The 19,963-nt window shown below is 36.6% G+C and overlaps 1 long non-coding RNA gene across 1 annotated transcript in view, besides 1 other annotated feature; it reads right to left on the bottom strand.

The window, feature by feature from the left end:
• The window catches only part of LOC101928437 (uncharacterized), a 477,888-nt gene that overhangs the window by 201,011 nt on the left and 256,914 nt on the right, over positions 1 to 19,963 (bottom strand). The window lies entirely within an intron of this gene.
• Positions 12,377 to 12,877: an enhancer, noted in NCBI's record as "H3K27ac hESC enhancer chrX:112549954-112550454 (GRCh37/hg19 assembly coordinates)". NCBI's record gives its function as "activates a minimal SCP1, AML or CMV promoter by ChIP-STARR-seq in naive H9 embryonic stem cells {active_cell/tissue: H9 hESC(naive)}" and the evidence as "EXISTENCE:reporter gene assay evidence [ECO:0000049][PMID:30033119]".

Raw genomic sequence — 19,963 nt, 5'->3', positions numbered from 1 at the left:
TGGTCTAAATACTTTTGTACCCTCAAAATTGATATGCTGAAATCCTAATCCCAACATGATGATAGGAGGTGGGGCCTTTGGAACATCATAAGAGTGGAGACTTCATGAATGGGATTAGTGTCCTTAAAAATGAGACCCCAGATAGCTCTCACTCTATTTCTGCCATGTGGAGATCCAAGGAGAAGTCAGCTTCCTGCAACCTAGAGTAAGAACTTCACCAGAATCTATCCATGCTGGCACTCTGATCTTGGACTTTCAACCTTCAAAACTATGAGAAATAAATGTTGTTCACCTCACTCTGTTTATGGTAAGCTGTTATAATAGTCAGAGCTGACTAAGAAACTGGCACTAAGAAGTGGGTGCTACCGTAAAAACAAAACAAAACAAAAAACTAAAAATGTTGAAGTGGTTAAAGAACTGGGGAATGGTAAGAGTCTAGAAGAGTTTTGAAGTGTATGCTAAAAGTTGAGAATATTGTGGAAAGACATTAAAATGTGATTCTGGTGAGAGCTCAGAAAGAAAAGCTTCCATCTGCATAGGGAATACATAAATCATCATTTACAAAATGTTGGTATAAATATGGACAAGAAAGGCCATTCTGATGAGGTCTCAGATGGAAATAAAGAACATGTTATTGGACAATAGAGAAAAGGTGATCCTTGTTATACAGTGGCAAAGAAAGAATTTGACTTGTGTTCATGTTCTGTTGTTTTGTAATAAACAGAACTTGTGAATGATTAAATTGGATATTTAGCTGATGCGAATTATAAGCAAAGTGTTTCCTCCTGACTGTGTTTATAGTAAAATGTGAAAAGACAGAAGTTACTTAAAGAGAGAATTATTAAGCAAAAGGGAAGTAGAACTTAAAGGTGTGGAAAATTCTCAGGCTTTCCATGCTGCTAAAAAAATCAGAAAACATGTACTGAAGAGAGCACTAAGGGTACGGCTGAACAAACATTTGATGAGGAGATTAATATGGGTGTCAAACACTGACTTAATCACCTACTTCGACAGGAAAATCTCTAGTTTAAACTAAATTAAAGAAGGTTGCCAGACCTTTTGGGTTTTATAAGACAGACCCTGTAGGTATTTTGCTGTAAGCATGTTCTGTTTTTCAATACAAGGGAAGAACAAACCTGAAAGCAATTCAGAGAATATCAGGGCTGCCTCCTCACTTTCAAAATTGTGGGGGAACCACCTCACTTTCAACAGACCATATGACCTCCACTCAATGCTATGGGGGCAGGACCTTCCAAAACTAAGGGAGCTCAAAACCTGCCCAGGAGAACCCTGCGGGCAGGACTCCCATGCTCATGGGTCTGGAACATGGTACCATTGCCCAAGTGGGCCTGGAGGGAAGAGTATGGAATCAAGGAGAATTATTCTGTGATAAGCTATTATAGCAGCTCAAACCGACTAAGACAAAGTACTTTTTACTTATTTTATTTTACTTTAAGTTCTGGACATGTGTAGAATGTGCAGGTTTGTCACATGGGTATAGATGTGCCACGGTGGTTTGCTGCACCAATCAACCTATCATCTACATTAGGTATTTCTCCTAATGCTATCCCTCCCCTAGCCCCTCACCCCCTGACAGGCCCCGGTGTGTGATGTTCCCCTCCCTGTGTCCATGTGTTCTCATTGTTCAACTCCCACTTATGAGTGAGAACATGCGGTGTTTGGTTTTCTGTTCTTGTGTTAGTTTGCTGAGAATGATGGTTTCCAGCTTCATCCATGTCCCTGCAAAGGACATGAACTCATCCTTTTTTTGTGGCTGGATAGTATTCCATGGTGTATATGTGCCACATTTTCTTTATCCAGTCTATCATTGATGGGCATTTGGGTTGTTTCCAAGTCTTTGCTATTGTGAACACTGCCACAATAAACATACGTGTGCATGTGTAAGACAAAGTACTTTTATGTTACTCTTACTCTTTAGCATCATTCCATTTCAACTTGAAGAACTCCTTTTATTATTTCTTATAAAGCAGGTCTGGTCGTGATGAACTCTCAACTTTTGTTAGTCTAGGAAAGTCTTTATCTGTTCATTTTTGAAGGACACTTTTGCTAAGTATAATCCTGGTTGAATGTTTTTTTCTTTCAGCACGTTGAATCTACATGTGATCCTGTTCACTTCTGCCTTGCATAGTTTTTCTTGAAAAATCCACTGATAGTTTTATGGAGGTTTCTTTGCATGTGGTGAGTCACTTTTCTGGTTCCTAAAAAATACTAAAAATAGAGTTTTACCATATGACCCAGCAATCCCATTTTTAGGTATATACTCCAAAGAAAGGAAATCAGAATATTGAAGAGCTATCTGCACTCTCATGTTTATTGCAGCACTATTCACAATAGACAATATTTGGAAGCAATCTAAGTGCCCATCAGTGGATGAATGGATAAACAAAATGAGGTACATATACACAATGGAGTACCATTCAGCCATAAAAAAGAATGATATCCTGTCATTTGCAACAACATGGACGGAACTGTAGGACATTATGTTAAGTGAAATAAGCCAGGCACAGAAAGACAAACCTCACATGCTCTCACTTATTTGTGGAAGGTAAAAATTGAAACAAACACTTTATTTGTTCTTAGTGGCCTCCAGGAATCATTTGTATGCCAGGTTCTGTCAGTGCTCCAAGACAAGCAGAACAGAAGCCAGTTCTTTGTGCAACCACCAGAGAAGTTGGGGCTTTGGATGGACAGTTCAACTCCTTCCCTTCCTTAAGAGAAGCTAGGATCTTGGAGTTTTTGTCCACTTTCTTTGTGCTGAACTGGGGGGAAGGGCCATAATGACTAATAGCCCAAATCACCATCTCTGATTTCACTGGTTCCCAGGCAGCTAAAGTATATCAGGTTCCATCACTGTTCCAAAACAGGCAAGACAGAAGTCAGTTTTCTAGAAAGTCCTCAGAGAACTTGGGGTATTGAACATGTAGTCTGACTCTTTCCCTACTTAGGGAGAAGATGGGAGTTGAAAGGTTTCCTCCTGATTGTACGGCATTGTGACAGGGGCAGGTATAGCGAATGTATCAAATTTCCCTACTGGCTTTGATGTGGCCGGTTTCACTCTTGCCCAGGGTATAGTAGCCTGTCAACTGGTTTCTGAATTTCCCACAAAGGGAATTTTCTCATGTTTTGTTGTTGAATCAGTGTGTACCAATTCCGCCATCTTCCTGACATCATTCAGTTCATTTTTGAAATTGTGAGCTATAATATAGTTAGAAGTGTCTTGTGGTCTATGGGAATTGGTTTGATATCTCAATTAAATATCTTAACTTTTAAAATACATATATCTTTTTAAATTCATTTCCTGATGAATTTCTAACAAAATACATAATGTTGAAATAATAATTTACCTTATCACTTCTCTACCTAAATATGGTTTTCTTTCTTTGCAAAAATTCAAGTGGTTTTATAGCTGGCTAAAATCACAAGCTCAGGCCCTATTATTATGTTGGTGCAAAAGTAATTGCGGTTTTTGCCATTACTTTCACCTGCAAAAAAACACAATTACTTTTGCACCAAACTAATAACATTTATATATATTTTTGGACATCTTGTTTCAGGCTACACGTTTTATTGATTGCACTTGACCATTGAGAGGAAACATCAAATTCATTATGTTTTTGCAGAAAAATGTCACTGAATATTTTCTGTTTTGTTATGTTTTAAACTGCAAATAGTTTTTTTTTCCTTTTTCATTTTGCTCTGTCACAGCAAACTGCAATTACCATTCATTGAGAAATTTTTAACATACTTTCTTCCACTCTTTTTTTTTTTTATTGCTCCAGTTGTGCTTTTAGCTTCTGCATCTCCGTTCAATTCTGTATGTACAGTATGCTTCATTTTAAATTTCAAATTTTCTCATGCTTTTTTTAAACTAGAAAAATAATTTAACTATATTGTATTTTTAAAATAAGTATTTTAATAACCAATTACAATTTATATAGTATGACTATAAAACATAACTGTCTGCAAAAAATGTGAAAATAAACATATTACTATCTTATGTCAGTGCTTAGAATAAATCATTTAAACTGAATCAATGTCTTGATACTAACTAGATTGATGATGTAATTATGTGTAATACTAAAAATGACACACGAATATGACATAAAAACTCTAATGCAAGAATAGTATCTTTCTTGTACGTGAATCAATGGTAAAATAAAATGTTGTCCTACCAAAATAATAAAGTTGTATCTAATAGAAAACATTTTATACTGCTTCAGTAATAAAATCTGAATTTTAAAGAATTAAAATAAAATGACATTTAAAAATTCAGTTTTTCAATCACACTAGACTCATTTCAGGTGCTTAATAGCCACACGTGACTAGTAGCTACCATACTGGACAGTATAGGTATTAGGTTGCAGACAGCATGCCTGATATTACTTGATGTGGCTCATCTACTGCTATGCGTAAGGCTTAGCCTATGAGTTTATTCAAATATTTGGTCAATCCAAAGAAAAAATGTCAATCTATCTGGCTGTTGCAGGTAACTGTTGGAACTGCATTTAGTTACACGTATCTAATACCACTCTTTTGCATTGACTATATGGCAAACAAACTTGGAAAACAATTAACCTATGAATTTAATCTTAAAATACCAGCATGGTAAGACAACTATAAATTCATATGGAAGAGAAAAGTCCTTCCAAATAGTCAATAACATTTGTTAAACCAAGAATAATGAGGCAAAAGTTGTCATACTAAACTTCAAAACCCTTTAAAGCTACATGGTATTTAATATATTGTCTTACTGACACAAGAACACAGTATTCAACATATAAATATGGTACAATTAGATATCCACTTAGAAAAAGATAATGTAGGCCTTTATTTTATCCCATATGAAAAAAACTCCAGATGGATGAAAGAGTTAAACATATCATTACAAAACTGTGCATTTTTAGAAAAAAAAAATCTTGGAAGAGGAAAGGGCAGAAAAACAAAGATTCACAAGTGAAGGCTGGCAGATTTTTTTCTGCATAAAATGAAAATATTTTACACAATAAAAGTAAAGAAAAAATAAGTTTGGAGAATATACCTGTTGCATAAATAATAAGCAAAGGATCATCATTCAAAACAAAATCACTACAAATCAATAAGAAAAGATATAAAATTTGGCAAAAAATATGAACAGGAAATTCAAAGAAGTATAACAAAGGATCAATAAGCATAAGATGTTAAACCTCACAAATAATATAATAAATATACATTAAAATAAAAATAAGATTTTACCCCATGTTTGGCACCACTGAAAAAGGTGTATAATATTATACTGTTATTTAATAGAATATTATGGGTTCTTTCATATACAATTGATGACTATGTATTTGTATAGCTTATTGAGATGGCAACTTGGCAACATCTATAAAATTTTTAAATTGCATAAGTTTGACTCTACAATTCTTCTAAGAACCTGTTCTATTTAAATATACATGTGCATGTATATACTGTAGTTCCTCTGTATCTGTGTGGGATTAGCTTCAGGACCTCTCATGGATGCCAAAAATCTGCAAATGCTCAAGCCCCTGATATAAATTATGCAGTATTTGCACATCCTTCTGTATAGTTTAAGTAATCCTAGATTACTTATAATACCTAATGCAATGGAAGTCCTATGTAAGCAGTTGTTATAGTGTACTGTTTAGGGAATAATGGCCAAAAAAAGCCTATACATGTTCAGTACAAACACAATTGAAAAAAAATATTTTTGATCCATGATTGGTTAAATCCACACATGCAGAACCTATGAATAGAGAGGGCCAACAGGATAGATAGGTAGATAGATAACAGATATACAAAATTTAACAAGGTTATTGACTTCAGTCAGACCAATTCTACAACTACACATCATACAAATACATGCATTTCACATATTTTTTCCCATGCGTAATTCCATGCTTTTTCTTACCCGGAGAACGTTTCTTCCTCCTTTCCTCCAATTTCTATGCACTATTTCCTTCGCAATCCTCTTTTCTCAAGAAATCTGCCTTAAGCTAACCTATAGTAAACATAAATTGTATCCCTTTACGTACATTCAGGATTTAAAATAAAATTAATTATATTCATAGAGTAGCAAACATAGGAAGATTGCTTAGGAAAAATGTAGTCTGGTGGCTTTAACATTTATATTAGCCATTGTATTAGTCAGCGTTTTCCAGAGAAACAGAATCAATAGGATGTGTATATATACATGAAGAGCTTTATTATAAGGAATTGGCTCATGTGATTATGGAAGCTGGACAGTCAAAATCTGCACAGTGTGAACCAGCAGGCTGGAGATCCAGGGTACCTGATGCTTCAGATGATGTCTTAAGGCAATATGCTGCAGAAGTCCCTTTTGCTTGGGGAGGCCAGGCTTTTTGTTCTGTTCAGGCCTTCAACTGATTGAAACCCACCCCCATTATGGAGGACAATCCTCTTACTCAAAGTTCACCAATGTAAATATATTTATTTATGTATTTTTATGTTTCACAGTGTTTGCTCTTTATATTTTCCATTGTTTTCTTAGAGTGGTTGTACCTGGCTCAAAAGGAATGGTATTTTATCACTCTTGATACATACAATGGATGTGATCATTTTTTAATTTGCCAACTCAATAGGTGAAAAATAGCACTTCAATATATTTTCTTTGATTATAGGCAAGACTGCACATCTCTTGAGTACGGCTTCTTCTTCATAGAAAAGGAAAACTTTTTTAAAACCTGTAAGCAGTTCCAACATCCATTTCATTTCCCGTGTCTAGTTTTCCCATGGACCAATGTGTTTACCTTGGGCATATAATTTTTGCTTGTATATCTGCAAACAGTTACAGTAATAGATATTTTCTTTTGTCTGTGTGTGTATTAGATATCTTTTTATTTATTATTTTTATTTAAAAATATTTTAACTTTTATTTTAGGTTTAGGGGTATATGTGCAGGTTTGTTATATAGGTAAACTCATTACTCGGGGATTTGGTGTACAGATGGGTAGGCCCCAGTGTCTGTTCTCCTTCTCTCTGTTCATGTGTTCTCATTATTTAAGTCCCACTTATAAGTGAGAACATGCAGTTTTTGCTTTTCTGTTTCTGCATTAGTTTGCTAAAGATAACGGCCTCCAGCTTCATCCATGTCCCTGCAAAGAACATGATCTCATTCTTTTTTTGGCTACATAGTATCCCATGGTGTATATGTGCCACATTTTCTTTATCCAATCTTGTACTGATGGAGATTTAGGTTGATTCCATATCTTTGCTATTGTGACTAGTGCTGTGATTAATATATATGTTCATGTGTCTTTAGGGTAGAATGATTTATATTTCTTTGGGAATATAAATCCAGGTAGTGGGATTTCTGGGTTGAATGGTAATTCCGTTTTTAGTTATTTCAGGAATCGCCACACTGCTTTCCACACTGGTTGAACCAATTTACACTCCCAGCAGCAATGTGTAAGTGTTCCCTTTTCTCCACAACCTTACCAGCATCTGTTATTTTTTGACTTCTTAATAGTAGCCATTCTGACTGGTGTGAGATGGTACCTCATTGTGGTTTTGATTTGCATATCTCTAATGATCAGTGATACTGAGCATTTTTTCATATGCTCGCTGGCTGCATGTATGTCTTCTTTTGAAAAGTTTCTGTTCAAGTCTTTTGTCCACTTTTTGATGGGATTGTTTTTTGCTTATATGTTTAAGTTCCTGGTAGATTCTAGATATTAGACCTTTGTCAGATGTGTAGTTTGCAAATTTTTTTTTCAATTCCATAGGTTGTCTGTTTACTCTGTTAAAATAGTGTGCAGAAGCTCTTAAGTTTAATTAGGTCGAGTTTGTCCATTTTTGCCTTTGTTGCAATTGCTTTTAGAATTTTGGCATGAAATCTTTGCCAGTTCCTATGTCCAAAATGGTATTTCCTAGGTTATCTTTCAGAGTTTTTACAGTTTTAGGTTTTACATTTAAGTCTTTAATCCATCTTTAGTTGATTTTTGTACATGGTGTAAGAAAGCGGTCCAGTTTCAGTCTTCTGCGTATAGCTAGCCAGTTATCCCATCATTTATTGAATAAGGAGTCCTTTCCCTATTGCTTGTTTTTGTAGACTTTGTCAAAGATCAGATGGTTGTAGGTATGTGGCTTTATTTCTGGGCTCTCTATTCTGTTTCATTGTTCTATGTGTTTGTTTTTATACAGTACCATGCTGTTTGGGTTACTGTAGCCTTGTAGTACAGTTTGAAGCCCAGCAATGCGATTCCACCAGCTGTGTTCTGTTTACTTAAAATTGCCATGGCTATTCGAGCTCTTTTTTGGTTTCATATGAACTTCAGAATAGTTTTTTTCTAGTTCTGTGAAGATGCCATTGGTAGTTTGATAGGAATAACATTGAATCTGTAAATTGCTTAGGGCAGTATGGCCATTTTAACAATATTGATTCTTCTTATCCAAGAGCATGGATTGTTCTTCCATTTGTTTGTATCATCTCTGATTTCTTTGAGCAGTGTTTTGTAATTCTCATTGTAGAGATCTTTCACCTCCCTGGTTAGCTGTAGTCCTAGGTATTTTATTCTTTTTGTGGCAATTGTGAATGGAATTGTGTTCCTGACTTGGCTCTCAGCTTGGATGCTGTTAGTGTATAGGAATGGTATTGATTTTTTTACCTTGATTTTGGATTCCAAAACTTTGCTGAAGTTGTCTATCAGATCAAAGAGCTTTTGAGACAAGACTATGGGGTTTTCTAGATATAGAATCATGTCATCTGCAAACAGGGATAGTTTCACTTTCTCTTTTCCTATTGGGATACCTTTTATTTCTTTCACTTGCCAGATTGCTTTGGCCAGAATTTCCAATATGATGTTGAATAGGACATCCATGTATGAATTTTATCCAAATACGTCCTCTAAATTGACACTTAAAATTAATAATCACAGCCATAAAAGCTTTTGCAAATGAAATCTTTCATTAATATAATTGCCATTGTCATTGTCATTACCACCATCATAGGTAATTAATGTTGTTAAGGAAGTTGTTATGGTCTTGGCACTAGCCTAATTGCTTCAGTTTTTTTAATCCTCACAATTATATTGTGGCACAAATACTCTTTTTATCATCCCTGTTTTACGACTTAAGAAACTGAGGTACAGAGGGTGTAAATAACTTGTCCAGGGTTATACAGATACCAAGTGCAGGACCAGGATTTGGATCCAGCCAGTTTAAATTCAGGCTTCCTTATGTTACATTGTCTCTCATGGAGATATGACATGAAAAGCAGACTTTCTGAAAATGAACATTGAAGTACATCCAGTAAAATCTTATTACTGATTGAGTCTAATCTCCTTGTTGAACAGGCATTCATACATATGCTATCCAATTCTTACCAGTGTTTCTTGACTCAAACGTTACTGTGGACAAGTAACTGACAATTTATTTTCTCTATATTGTGACCTTAGGCTTGAGGAAGAGGGGATCGGGAGAAAAGACATATAAGCTGCAACTATGTCTAGGTAATTTTTTTTAATGTCTTGCTGCTTAGTAAAATAAAAAGGGGAAATTACTGGTTATCTCATATTGTAAGCCTTTTTTGTTTATTCCCTAATTTTTATGTGCACCCGAGCCTCATCACCATAGATAGGCAGGAGTTACTTGAAGCAGGAGGATTATACCCTTGTTATTCTGAAATACTCTCATAAAGCTTACCCAGAATTTTGAAATTTTAATAATGAAAAGTGAATAAATAAACATATAATGCAGGGCTTTGGAAAAAGTAGCATCTCCTTCAGTAAGTGTCAACTGCTAAGCCATTTCCAGATGAAATATGATGAGGGAGAGTATAATATAGTGGCCACTGACATGGGCCATGGAGTAGACAGATGTGATTTTGTATTCTGCCTTCCCCACTTACTAGAGACAGTTCATAACCATTTACGTGCCTCAATTCTTTCATCTGTCAAAAGGAGATACTAATAGTAGCCACCATGCAGAACTGTAGTGAGAATTAAACTTGGAAATGCACACAAAATTCTCAACGCAGTTTTTGGCAAGTATTCAAAAGTAAGTATTCAAAAATATGGGCAAATTAGATAATATTTATCTAAGCAATCACACATGAATCCTTATCGAGCGTTTAAGATAAGTGCAGTCATCCCTTGGTCTCCCTGGGGATTGGTTCTAGGATCCCTGGTGTATATCAAAATCTGCGAAAGCTCAAGTCACTGATATAAAATGGCATAATATTCGCATATAACCTATGCACAGCCTCTTGTATACTTTAAAGCATCTCTAGATTACACATAATACAATGTAAATGCTATGTAAATAGTTGTTATACTGTATTTTATCTGTATTATTTTTTAGTATTGACCTGTTTTTTTTAGTACACTCATGTGTTGCTTAACAAAGGGAATACGTTATAAGAAGTGCAACATTAGGTGATTTCATCATTTTGTAAACATCCTAGAGTGTACTTACACAAACCTAGATGGTATAGCCTACTACACACCTAGCTATGTGGTATAGCCTATCACTTCTATGCTGCAAACCTGTACAGCATGTTACTACACTGAATACTGTAGGCAACTGTAACACAATGGTTAGTATTTATGTATCTAAACATAGAAAAGGTACAATAAAATACGGTATTATAATCTTATGGGATCACTGCCATATATATGGTCCATCACTGATTGATTGACTATGTGGTACGTGACTATATTTTTAATCCACCGTTAGTTCAATCCACAGAGCCGGGACCCACGGGTATGGAGGTCCAACTATAACACTATCATCACCATTTTACAGAAGAGAAAACTGAGGCAGATGGGCAAAGTGACCTGCCTAGGGCTACACAACTAGTTAAGCTGAAGAGCAGGGTTTCAAACCCATAGTGCCTGTCTCCAGAAACCGTGTACTTGGCAACTACATTACACTGCCTCTTGGGATGCAGTTGAGTTTCTATTTCTATAATTCCTTATACGGGAGATGAGAAATATCCTCTCTAAAAACTGAGAAGATTTTTCCCTTGTTAAAGGGACTCTAGGCTTCAACCAATGGTTCAAGGTTGTGTTTGGGGGGAACAGAAGTCTTTCCAGGATCTGAAAAGTCACTGGCGGTTACCTCCTCCCTTTATTAGAAGGCCTTCCTTTTTGCTGGCCAATTCTTTTTGTTTTATTTTTTAATGATACATAATAGATATACACATCTATTATGTACCATGTATTTGGGGGGTACATGTGATAATTTAATATATTCATATAATTTGTAAAGATCAAATCAGTGTACTTAGGATATCCACCATCTTAAATACTTGTCTTTTCTTCATGCTAGAAACATTCAAATTATTCTCTTTTAGGTATTTTAAAATACAGATTATTGTAAATGATAATCACACTATTGTTCCGTCAAACACTATGTGTTATTTTTTCTATCACACTGTTATTTGTACCCATTAATCAACCCCCCCTTATCCCTCCTCCCTGCTATCCTTCCTGTCCTCTAATAACAACAAGCTATTCTTTATCTTCATGAGATCCACTATGTTAGCTCCCACATATTAGTGAGAACATGCAAAAATTATCCTTCTGTGCTTGCCTTACTTCACCCAACATAATGACCTCCAGTTCCATCCATGCTGCTGCAAATGACATAATTTCATTCCTTTTATAGCTGAATAGTATTTCATTGTGTATATATACCACATTGTCCTTATTCATTTATTCACTGATGGACATTTAGGTTGATTCCATACTTTGGGTATTGTGAGTAGTGCTACAATAAACATGGGAGTGCAGGTATCTCTTTGATAGGTTGATTTTTCTTTCTTTTGGATATATACCCAATAGTGGAATTGCTGGATCATATGGTAGTTCTATTTTTGTTTTTTTTTTTTTTTGAGGAACCTCCATATAGTTTTCTATTGTGGCTGTACTAATTTAAATTTCTGAGAGTTCTCCTTTCTCCACATCCTTGCCAGCATCCATTATTTCCTGCTTTTTTTTTTTACAGTAGCCATTTTAACTGGTGTGAGATGATATCTCATTGTGGTTTCAATTTGAATCTAATGATTAGTGATGTTGAGCATTTTTTCATATACCTGTTGGCCATTTGTATATCTTATTTTGAGAAATGTCTATTCAAATCTTTTGCCCATTTTTAACTGTATTATTTGTTTTATTGCTATTGAGTTGTTTAAACTCCTTATGTATTCTGGTTATTAGTTCGTTGTCAGACGGACAGCTTGCAAATATTTTCTCCCATTCTGCAGGTTGTCTTTTCACTTTGTTAATTGTTTCCTTTGCTGTGTAGAGCTTCTAAGCTTGATGTAATCACATTTGTCTATTTTTGTTTTGGTTGCTTGTGCTTTTGAGCTCTTAGACAAAAAATCTTTGCCCTTTCTGGCCAGTCTTAGTGAACTTGCCTTAAGTACTTTCTCTTACTTAGCAATTAATTTATACACAGCAGACAAGGAGGAGCTGTCACCATGTGAATGAAGCTTCCCTAGTCTTGACATGGTGCATGTTGCGGGAAGTCAGGGACCCCAAACGGAGGGACCGGCTGAAGCCATGACAGAATAATGTGGATTGTGAAGATTTTGTGGACATTTATTAGTTCCCCAAATTAATACTTTTGTAATTTCTTATGCCTGTCTTTACTGCAGTCTCTAAACATAAATTGTAAAGATTTCATGGACACTTATCACTTCCCCAATCAATATCCTTGTGATTTCCTATGCCTGTCTTTGCTTTAATCTCTTAATCCTGTCAGCCGAGAAGGATGTATATCGTCTCAGGACCCTGTAATAGTTGCGTTAAGTACACAAATTGTACAGCATGTGTGTTTGAGCAATATGAAATGTGGGCACCCTGAAAAAAGAACAGGACAACAGCAATTGTTCAGGGAATAAGAGAGATAACCTTAAACTCTGACCGCAGGTGAGCCGGGCAGAACAGAGCCATATTTCTCTTCTTTCAAAAGCAAATGGGAGAAATATTGTTGAATTCCTTTTCTCAGCATGGAACGTCCCTGAGAAAGAGAATGCACACCTAGGGGTAGGTCTCTGAACTGGCCCCCCCGGGGCATACCTGTCTCTTCTGGTCAAGATTGCAGAGGTGAAATAAACTCCAGTCTCCCATAGCACTCCCAGGCTATTAGGAGGAGGAAATTCCCGCCTAATAAACTTTGGTCAGACGGGTTGATCTCAAAACCCTGTCTCCTGATAAGATGTTATCAATGACAATGGTGCCCGAAACTTCATTAGCAATTTTAATTTCGCCTCCATCCTGTGGTCCTGTGATCTCGCCCTGCCTCCACCTGCCTTGTGATATTCTATTACCTTGTTAAGTTCTTGATGTCTGTCACCCACACCTATTCGCACACTCCCTCCCCTTTTGAAACTCCCTAATAAAAACTTGCTGGTTTTTGTGGCTTGTGGGGCATCACAGATCCTACCAACGTGTGATGTCTCCCCCAGACGTCCAGCTTTAAAATTTCTCTCTTTTGTACTCTGTCCCTTTATTTCTCAAGCCAGCCGATGCTTAGGAAAATAGAAAAGAACCTACGTGATTATCGGGGCAGGTCCCCCGATAGATGCATTAAAATATTCTTTAAATGTTTTCAGAGACTCAGCCCACTGAAGCAATCATTGTGTTACAGCAGCTATTTCACCTCATCGGTGTTACAGCTTTCAAATGGGAAGATATAATTTTTCAATACTTCAGTTATGACCAAACTCTTGCTTCAAAACTAATTTGACTTCTGTACAGAATACAATTTTGGCATGGGCATATTCCTTTTAAAATTTAACAATTAACCAAAACAATACTAAAATATCATCAGTGAGTCATCAGTGCACAGCTATTCCAAGACATAACTTTGTGAAGCAAAATGTCTTTAGCCTTCATCAGCATGACTGCACTGAAGAAATATGGGTACACATACCGCAGAAGTTTAGAGCTGCTACTGGAGATGCAATACTCTATTTCTGGAGAAACTCACTTTGTCAACAGATGAGTCAAATTATAGACTTCTATTGAGGCCCTGACTGTAAAGTATTATCCCCTAGCCCATGGTTTCTCAAACCCTGATCTATAGAAAGCTAACATTCCAGTTAGTGACCTTGGAATCCTTTGGCAATACTTATTTATTTATTTATTTTAGTAGAGACTGGGTTTTGCAATGTTGGCCAGGCTAGTCTCGAACTCCTGGCCTCAAGTGATCCACCCACCTTGGCCTCACAAAGTGCTGGAATTAGAGGCATGAGCCACAGCAAACGGCCTGTGGCAATATCTTATGAAGTAAGATTGACTATACATGGCTTGCCTGACATCCCTACCTCTGCTTAAACCAGAGTAGCTTCCCATTTATCCTTTGATATATTAAGATTTCTCATTGGATTTCCTTTAAACTAAAAAAAATCTTGATTTGATGAAATTTAAAAATGATCTTTGGGAACAGAAAAAGAAGTACGTGTTCACTGTTTTCTGTGAGATTTTCTACTTTTTGAAAATGCAAAATGCACAGAGTACAGAACAATCATAATATTATAAGTATCTGAGGGGGGAAATAGTTTTGAGCTCGCCAGGATTGGTGAACAACCAAACAAGGCAGCACAATTTGTGCCAGGCATTTTATACCCATTGTCACAAAAAACCTTTACTACAACCATGATAATGGTCTAATCGTTTTCATTTTATGAATTAGTAAACTGAGCTTCAGAGACTTTAAGTAATTCTCAAAAAAATCACGTAACTAAATAACCTGCAGAGAAGGGCTTCAAATATATGTCTGTCTGTCTTCAAAGTCCATGGTCCTTTAATATTATATTACACCCAACTACATCTCCCACACATATCACTGTCACAGGATTTCAGAAATGGATGACATCATTGTAGACTGTGGGGGTCCCAGAATGCTGACCAAATAAGTCTAGCACACAAGGGCTCAATTATAGATATGATGTGAATTGGTTTGGCTATTGTGGACTTATAGAGCTTCAAAGGGGTTAAATTACAGAAGTTGCAAACAGACAGACCCTTGGGTTGCATTTAACAAGCAGATGTGCTTTGTTTAGCCTACACAAAGGCTAAAAGATCAGGACATTCTACTAAACATCCAGATTTGCATTTTTCTTTTTTAAAAAGTGGAGTAATTAGACACCCCGGCCCCTACGTTTCTGCATGACAAAAATCAAGTGTAACTAAGCAGCAACTGCCTCATCTAAATCAATTAACTCTATACTCTCTAGTTTACCACAATCCTCTCCACTCCCTATTGTATTTTATTGCCTGCTGTACTCATTTATGTTACTTGCCTAGATTCTGTGAAAAACTGTATTTATAACTTCTTTTTTAGGGACTAGGAACAGAAAAAGAGAAAAACTTCCTCCTACTGGCCACCTGGAGACCATCCACCTGGAAATATACCAGATGGAGACTGGATTGGGGAGCACATTAATAATATGAGGTGAGATCACAATTCAGGAAAATGCTGTCAAAGAAGTACTGAATTCTATAATTTAGCTGATCAATACCAAGAAGGTAGTATGGGATGAAGCACCATATAAGACCATGAAAGACTAACTCTTCCTACAACACATACTTATTGGGAACTTACCATGTCTCTCCAAAGCAACAAGGAGACAAAAACATGTAAGACATGGTCCCTGCTCTCAAGTTGCTCAGTCTAGTAAGGCAAAAAGACAAGAAAATAAACAATTAAATGTGAAAAAAGAAAAATACAATGTAATTAAAATAAGCATAAAGTGTTGTGAGAGAGTATATAAAACTAGGGTTCGGGAGAAGCTGTTATGAATGACAATTAGGAGTCACTACGTGAAAAAATAGAGGAGAGGGAGAAAAGACAAAGTAAAGGTATGGCATTTATTTAAGCAGAGAACTGGAAACATCATGACTCTTCAGAGAAGTGTAAGTTTTCTCCCTATGACTGGAGCAAAGGAAGTATTTGGGGGAAGTGGTTAAAGAGGAGGCTGGAAGAGTAGGTATACATTCATATATACATAAATTCACATATTCATTCAATGGGAGCTTAAAGATACTGATTTAGGCATTGGGAATACAACAGAGAACAGGGCAGAGAGAACCCCACCCTAGTGAAACTTGCATTCTGAAGAATTCAGTCAAATTTTAAAAAATTACAATTGATTAACCAGATTAGTGCCATGACAGAAGTTTGGCTTTTTAAAGCGTTATGATAGAAACCAACCAGAAAGCTGGCTGTACATAAGATGATCTAGAATAACCAATAGTTCATAAACTTAACATGTTCTTAAAAAAAGAGCTCTAGGCTTTATTCTAAGGACCACAGGAAGCCACAGAGGGCTTTTAAGAGGGGCAGAATTGTGGTATGATCAAGTGTATTTTAGAGCGATAACTGTGACTAAAGTATGAAGGGTTGATTGGATGAGGGAAACTTTGGAAGCAAATAGACTAGTTGGGAGACTCAACTGGTAGCATAGGTAAAGAGTGTAATTGAATTCTTTGTCACTCAAAGGGTTAAATGCTTGAGGGAATGGATAACCTATTCTTCACGATATGCTTATTTCACATTGCATGCCTGTATCAGAACATCTCATGTACCCGATAAATATATACACCTATTATGTACCCACAAAAATTTAAGAAATTTTTTTTAAAAAAGCGGGGTAGTGGCCTCAACTACACCATTTTTTGGCAGAGACAAGGAGAAACAGACAGGTGAGGAGTTGTGACTTGCTAAATTACTGTAGTGAGCTAGAGATGGGAACTTTTAGTAGACCCAGATTTCTATGCTAGTGCGCCAATACCAAGATCCAAAACTATGACTAAGCTTAGTGAAGGTCAGGGAAGGTGAATTTGTTTCAGAAAGCAATGAGGAGAGTAGACCAATTCATAGACTCCATCACTTCATCTCATTATAATGAAAGTAGTCTCACTATTTGAGCAGTGCCAGTCCTTTCTTGAAGCTATGTCATAATTAGGTGTCCCATAACCAGGTAAAAACCGTATCCAGTATTTGAGAAACAGGCCAGGTTGTGACAAAAGTTTTATGAATAAGTTGATGTGGACCAATGAGGATAAGAAAGCTTTGAGTATGGGAAAATTCAGGCAACTAGACATGGAAGGCAAGGTGAATTAATAACACAATGAGAAAAATGTTCAGAGATGAAAATGACTAATATGTGTTTAGGGGATAATAGCTGGAGCAGAATATTCATGTTGGGATAAATGGAGAATGTTACCTCCAATATTTTTGGCAATTACTAAAGTAAAAGAATATTAAGTACTCTGCTTTCAGAAAATTTGCAGATTTCTCCACTTCTGAATGATCTGACTATAAAATTTTTTAAAACATTCTTTTTGCTTTATATTTCCCATTTAACAGTACCTCATGAAAATCATATTAAAACAACACCCTTTATATCACCAGACATTTATTTGACCTGTTCTCTCAAATTTTGATTAAGACTCTATGCATGTGTGAAAATTATTAGATTATTTTCTTGTGAGAATATGGCATATTGAAACATTATTGCCTGAATATTACCTAACAAAATCCAAGTCCTGCCAAACAAAGTACAAACTGGAAATTATGGGAAATCTCTTTAGTATAAATTAATGAAATCAGGAGAGTTAACATTTTGATAGAAACGCATATTCCAAACAAGGTAGGATAAAGTCAGCCTATTGAAACTTTTCCATGTGCTTAGATTTCATTAAACAGCACCATCTCTAAAAATAAATTATATATTAGGAAATTACTTCATTGTTATTGCTATGATGTTCTACACAAAATCCAAGGAGACACCTGACTTTTGTGTTGATACAGAAATATATAGATGCTCTAATTATTGGTAATAACTCCAAAATTTGAAAGCTATTTACTAGACTATCTGAATCTCTTAAATTCCAGAGGCTTCAGACAGAACATATAAACTATGAGGAAAAGAAAAGATGAAATTTCATCAAGCACCTAGACGTGCTTAATGAAGTTCCAGGGTAACCAAGATATGGACCAGACTACTCAAAGCTATTGAATCCAGAGAATTTGGTAGAACAAGAATCTCTGAATCTTCTCTCAGATTTTTCATCTATGTTTCCCATTTTTGAAGCACTCTCTTTGGTTGCTCCTTTTTCTTTTCTTCTTTTTTTTCTTCTTTTCTGCCTTACCAGGGCATGGTGACATTCCTTTAGTCACCATAGTTTGAAGTTCTGTTCAGCTAATATTGATTAAAGGCAAAAGAAAGATTTATTTTGTTTACATGGGGCCTAAGATTAATGTTTTCAGTCTTTATTGTGCTATATTTTAAATTTGATTTTTGGATACTTAATGTACTTCTACATTTTAGTGATCAGCTTTAAAAATTGGTTTGGAATTCAGATAGTGCTCTTAATTAACAAAATTAGAGCTATTTAGCTACTTTGAGAGTAGGCTATAGAGTCTGCTTACACATATTTACTTAGCACAAATTCTCTTCTTCATTAAATGAGAATAATGATATATAATATCTTGTGTACACTTTCTTGAGTGCTAAAAGTGCATTTAAAAAACCAGAAAGACATTTTTCCTAGCTAAAAGATGCAATTAGAAATAAGATGCATTAGTATCTTACTCAAATAAAACCAGGTTTTATGGAGGTTGGGCTAAGCATGGCAGTGCATCCAAAGAAAGCAAATCCAATTCCAAAACCCAAAAATGCCATAAACAATTAAATACAAGCATGTTGATCAAGAACAGGTCCGTGTCATAGAAAAAGTAACATTGGAGCAGAATCTTGAAGGATGAGTAGGTTTTCATAAGGCAAAATTGTATAATGGGTGGAATCACAAGGGAATTTCAGGCAGATGAAATAGCATGAGCAAATGCCAAGGGATATCTAAGTATACTACAGATTCAGAGAACAGCAATTAGTGTAGTAGAGCTGAAACAGAGTTTGCATGATAAGGAAACGGGGCAAATTAAATGCCAGGAATCAAGGGCGGGCCAGGGTCAAGTGATCAGTCTTCAATGCCAGGCAAGGAAGAAAGAGTTTATATTGTAGATAATAAAGAGGCCCTAAAAATGTTTAATCAAATGAATTATGTGCTAAGACATGTTTCAGAATGATTACTTTGGCATAAATGTAAGGAATGGATTTGTTATAGAAAACAGTGGAGATGTAGAGACCAATTAGAAAGCTGGTAGGAAAGGCTAGGAATCTGAACTAGGGAAGAAGGAGTAGAGATGGAAAATAAGCAACACGAAAGAATCTGAAGAAATAAAAACAAAACCCAGAGAATGACTTCATATTGAGTGAGGAAAGGAATCAAGCAACTATAACTCCTTGGTTACTAACCTGATTTACTTAATAGATAGCTACATCTTTCATCAGCAAAACGAATGTAAATTTAAAAAGTATGAAGTCAGGTTTGCAGCAGTAATGAATTGAGTTTGGGATAATTTGTGCAACACCCTCCTGGGTATGCAGGTCTGAAGCTATGCCTAAAGATAGAGCATTTAGGCTTCAATGCGGAAGGGACGTGAAACCACCCACAGAAAAAGTACAGAGAGAGGAGGAGGGGAAGGGAGGGGAGCGGATGGGAGGGGAGGGGGAGAGGAAGGGAGAAGGGAGGGGAGAAGGGAGGGGAGACGGGAGGGGAGAGGGGAAGGGGAGGGGAGGGGAGATAGGAGGGGGAGGGGAGAGGAGAGGGGAGGGGGGACGGGAGGGGGAGGGGAGAGGGGAGGGGGAGGGGGACGGGAGGGGGAGGGGGATGGGAGAGGGAGAGGGGAGGGGAGAGGGGAGGGGAGAGAGGAGGGGAGAGGGGAGGGGAGAGGGGAGGGGACAGGGGATGGGGAGGGGAGAGGGGAGGGGAGGAGCGAGGAGCAGGGCGGGGGGTAGGTAGGGGCGAGGAGAGAGGAGAGGAGAGGGCTGAAAAACCCTAGAGGACATAAATATTTAGTGAGGGGTTAGAAGATGAAGAATCAGAGGGAGAGAATGAAATGGAACTGT

This window comes from Homo sapiens, chromosome X, assembly GCF_000001405.40.
Source record: "Homo sapiens chromosome X, GRCh38.p14 Primary Assembly".
NCBI classification, from domain to species: domain Eukaryota; kingdom Metazoa; phylum Chordata; class Mammalia; order Primates; family Hominidae; genus Homo; species Homo sapiens.
The sequence above is the reverse complement of the archived record's forward strand: the minus strand, read 5'-3'. Positions and strand labels throughout refer to the sequence as shown.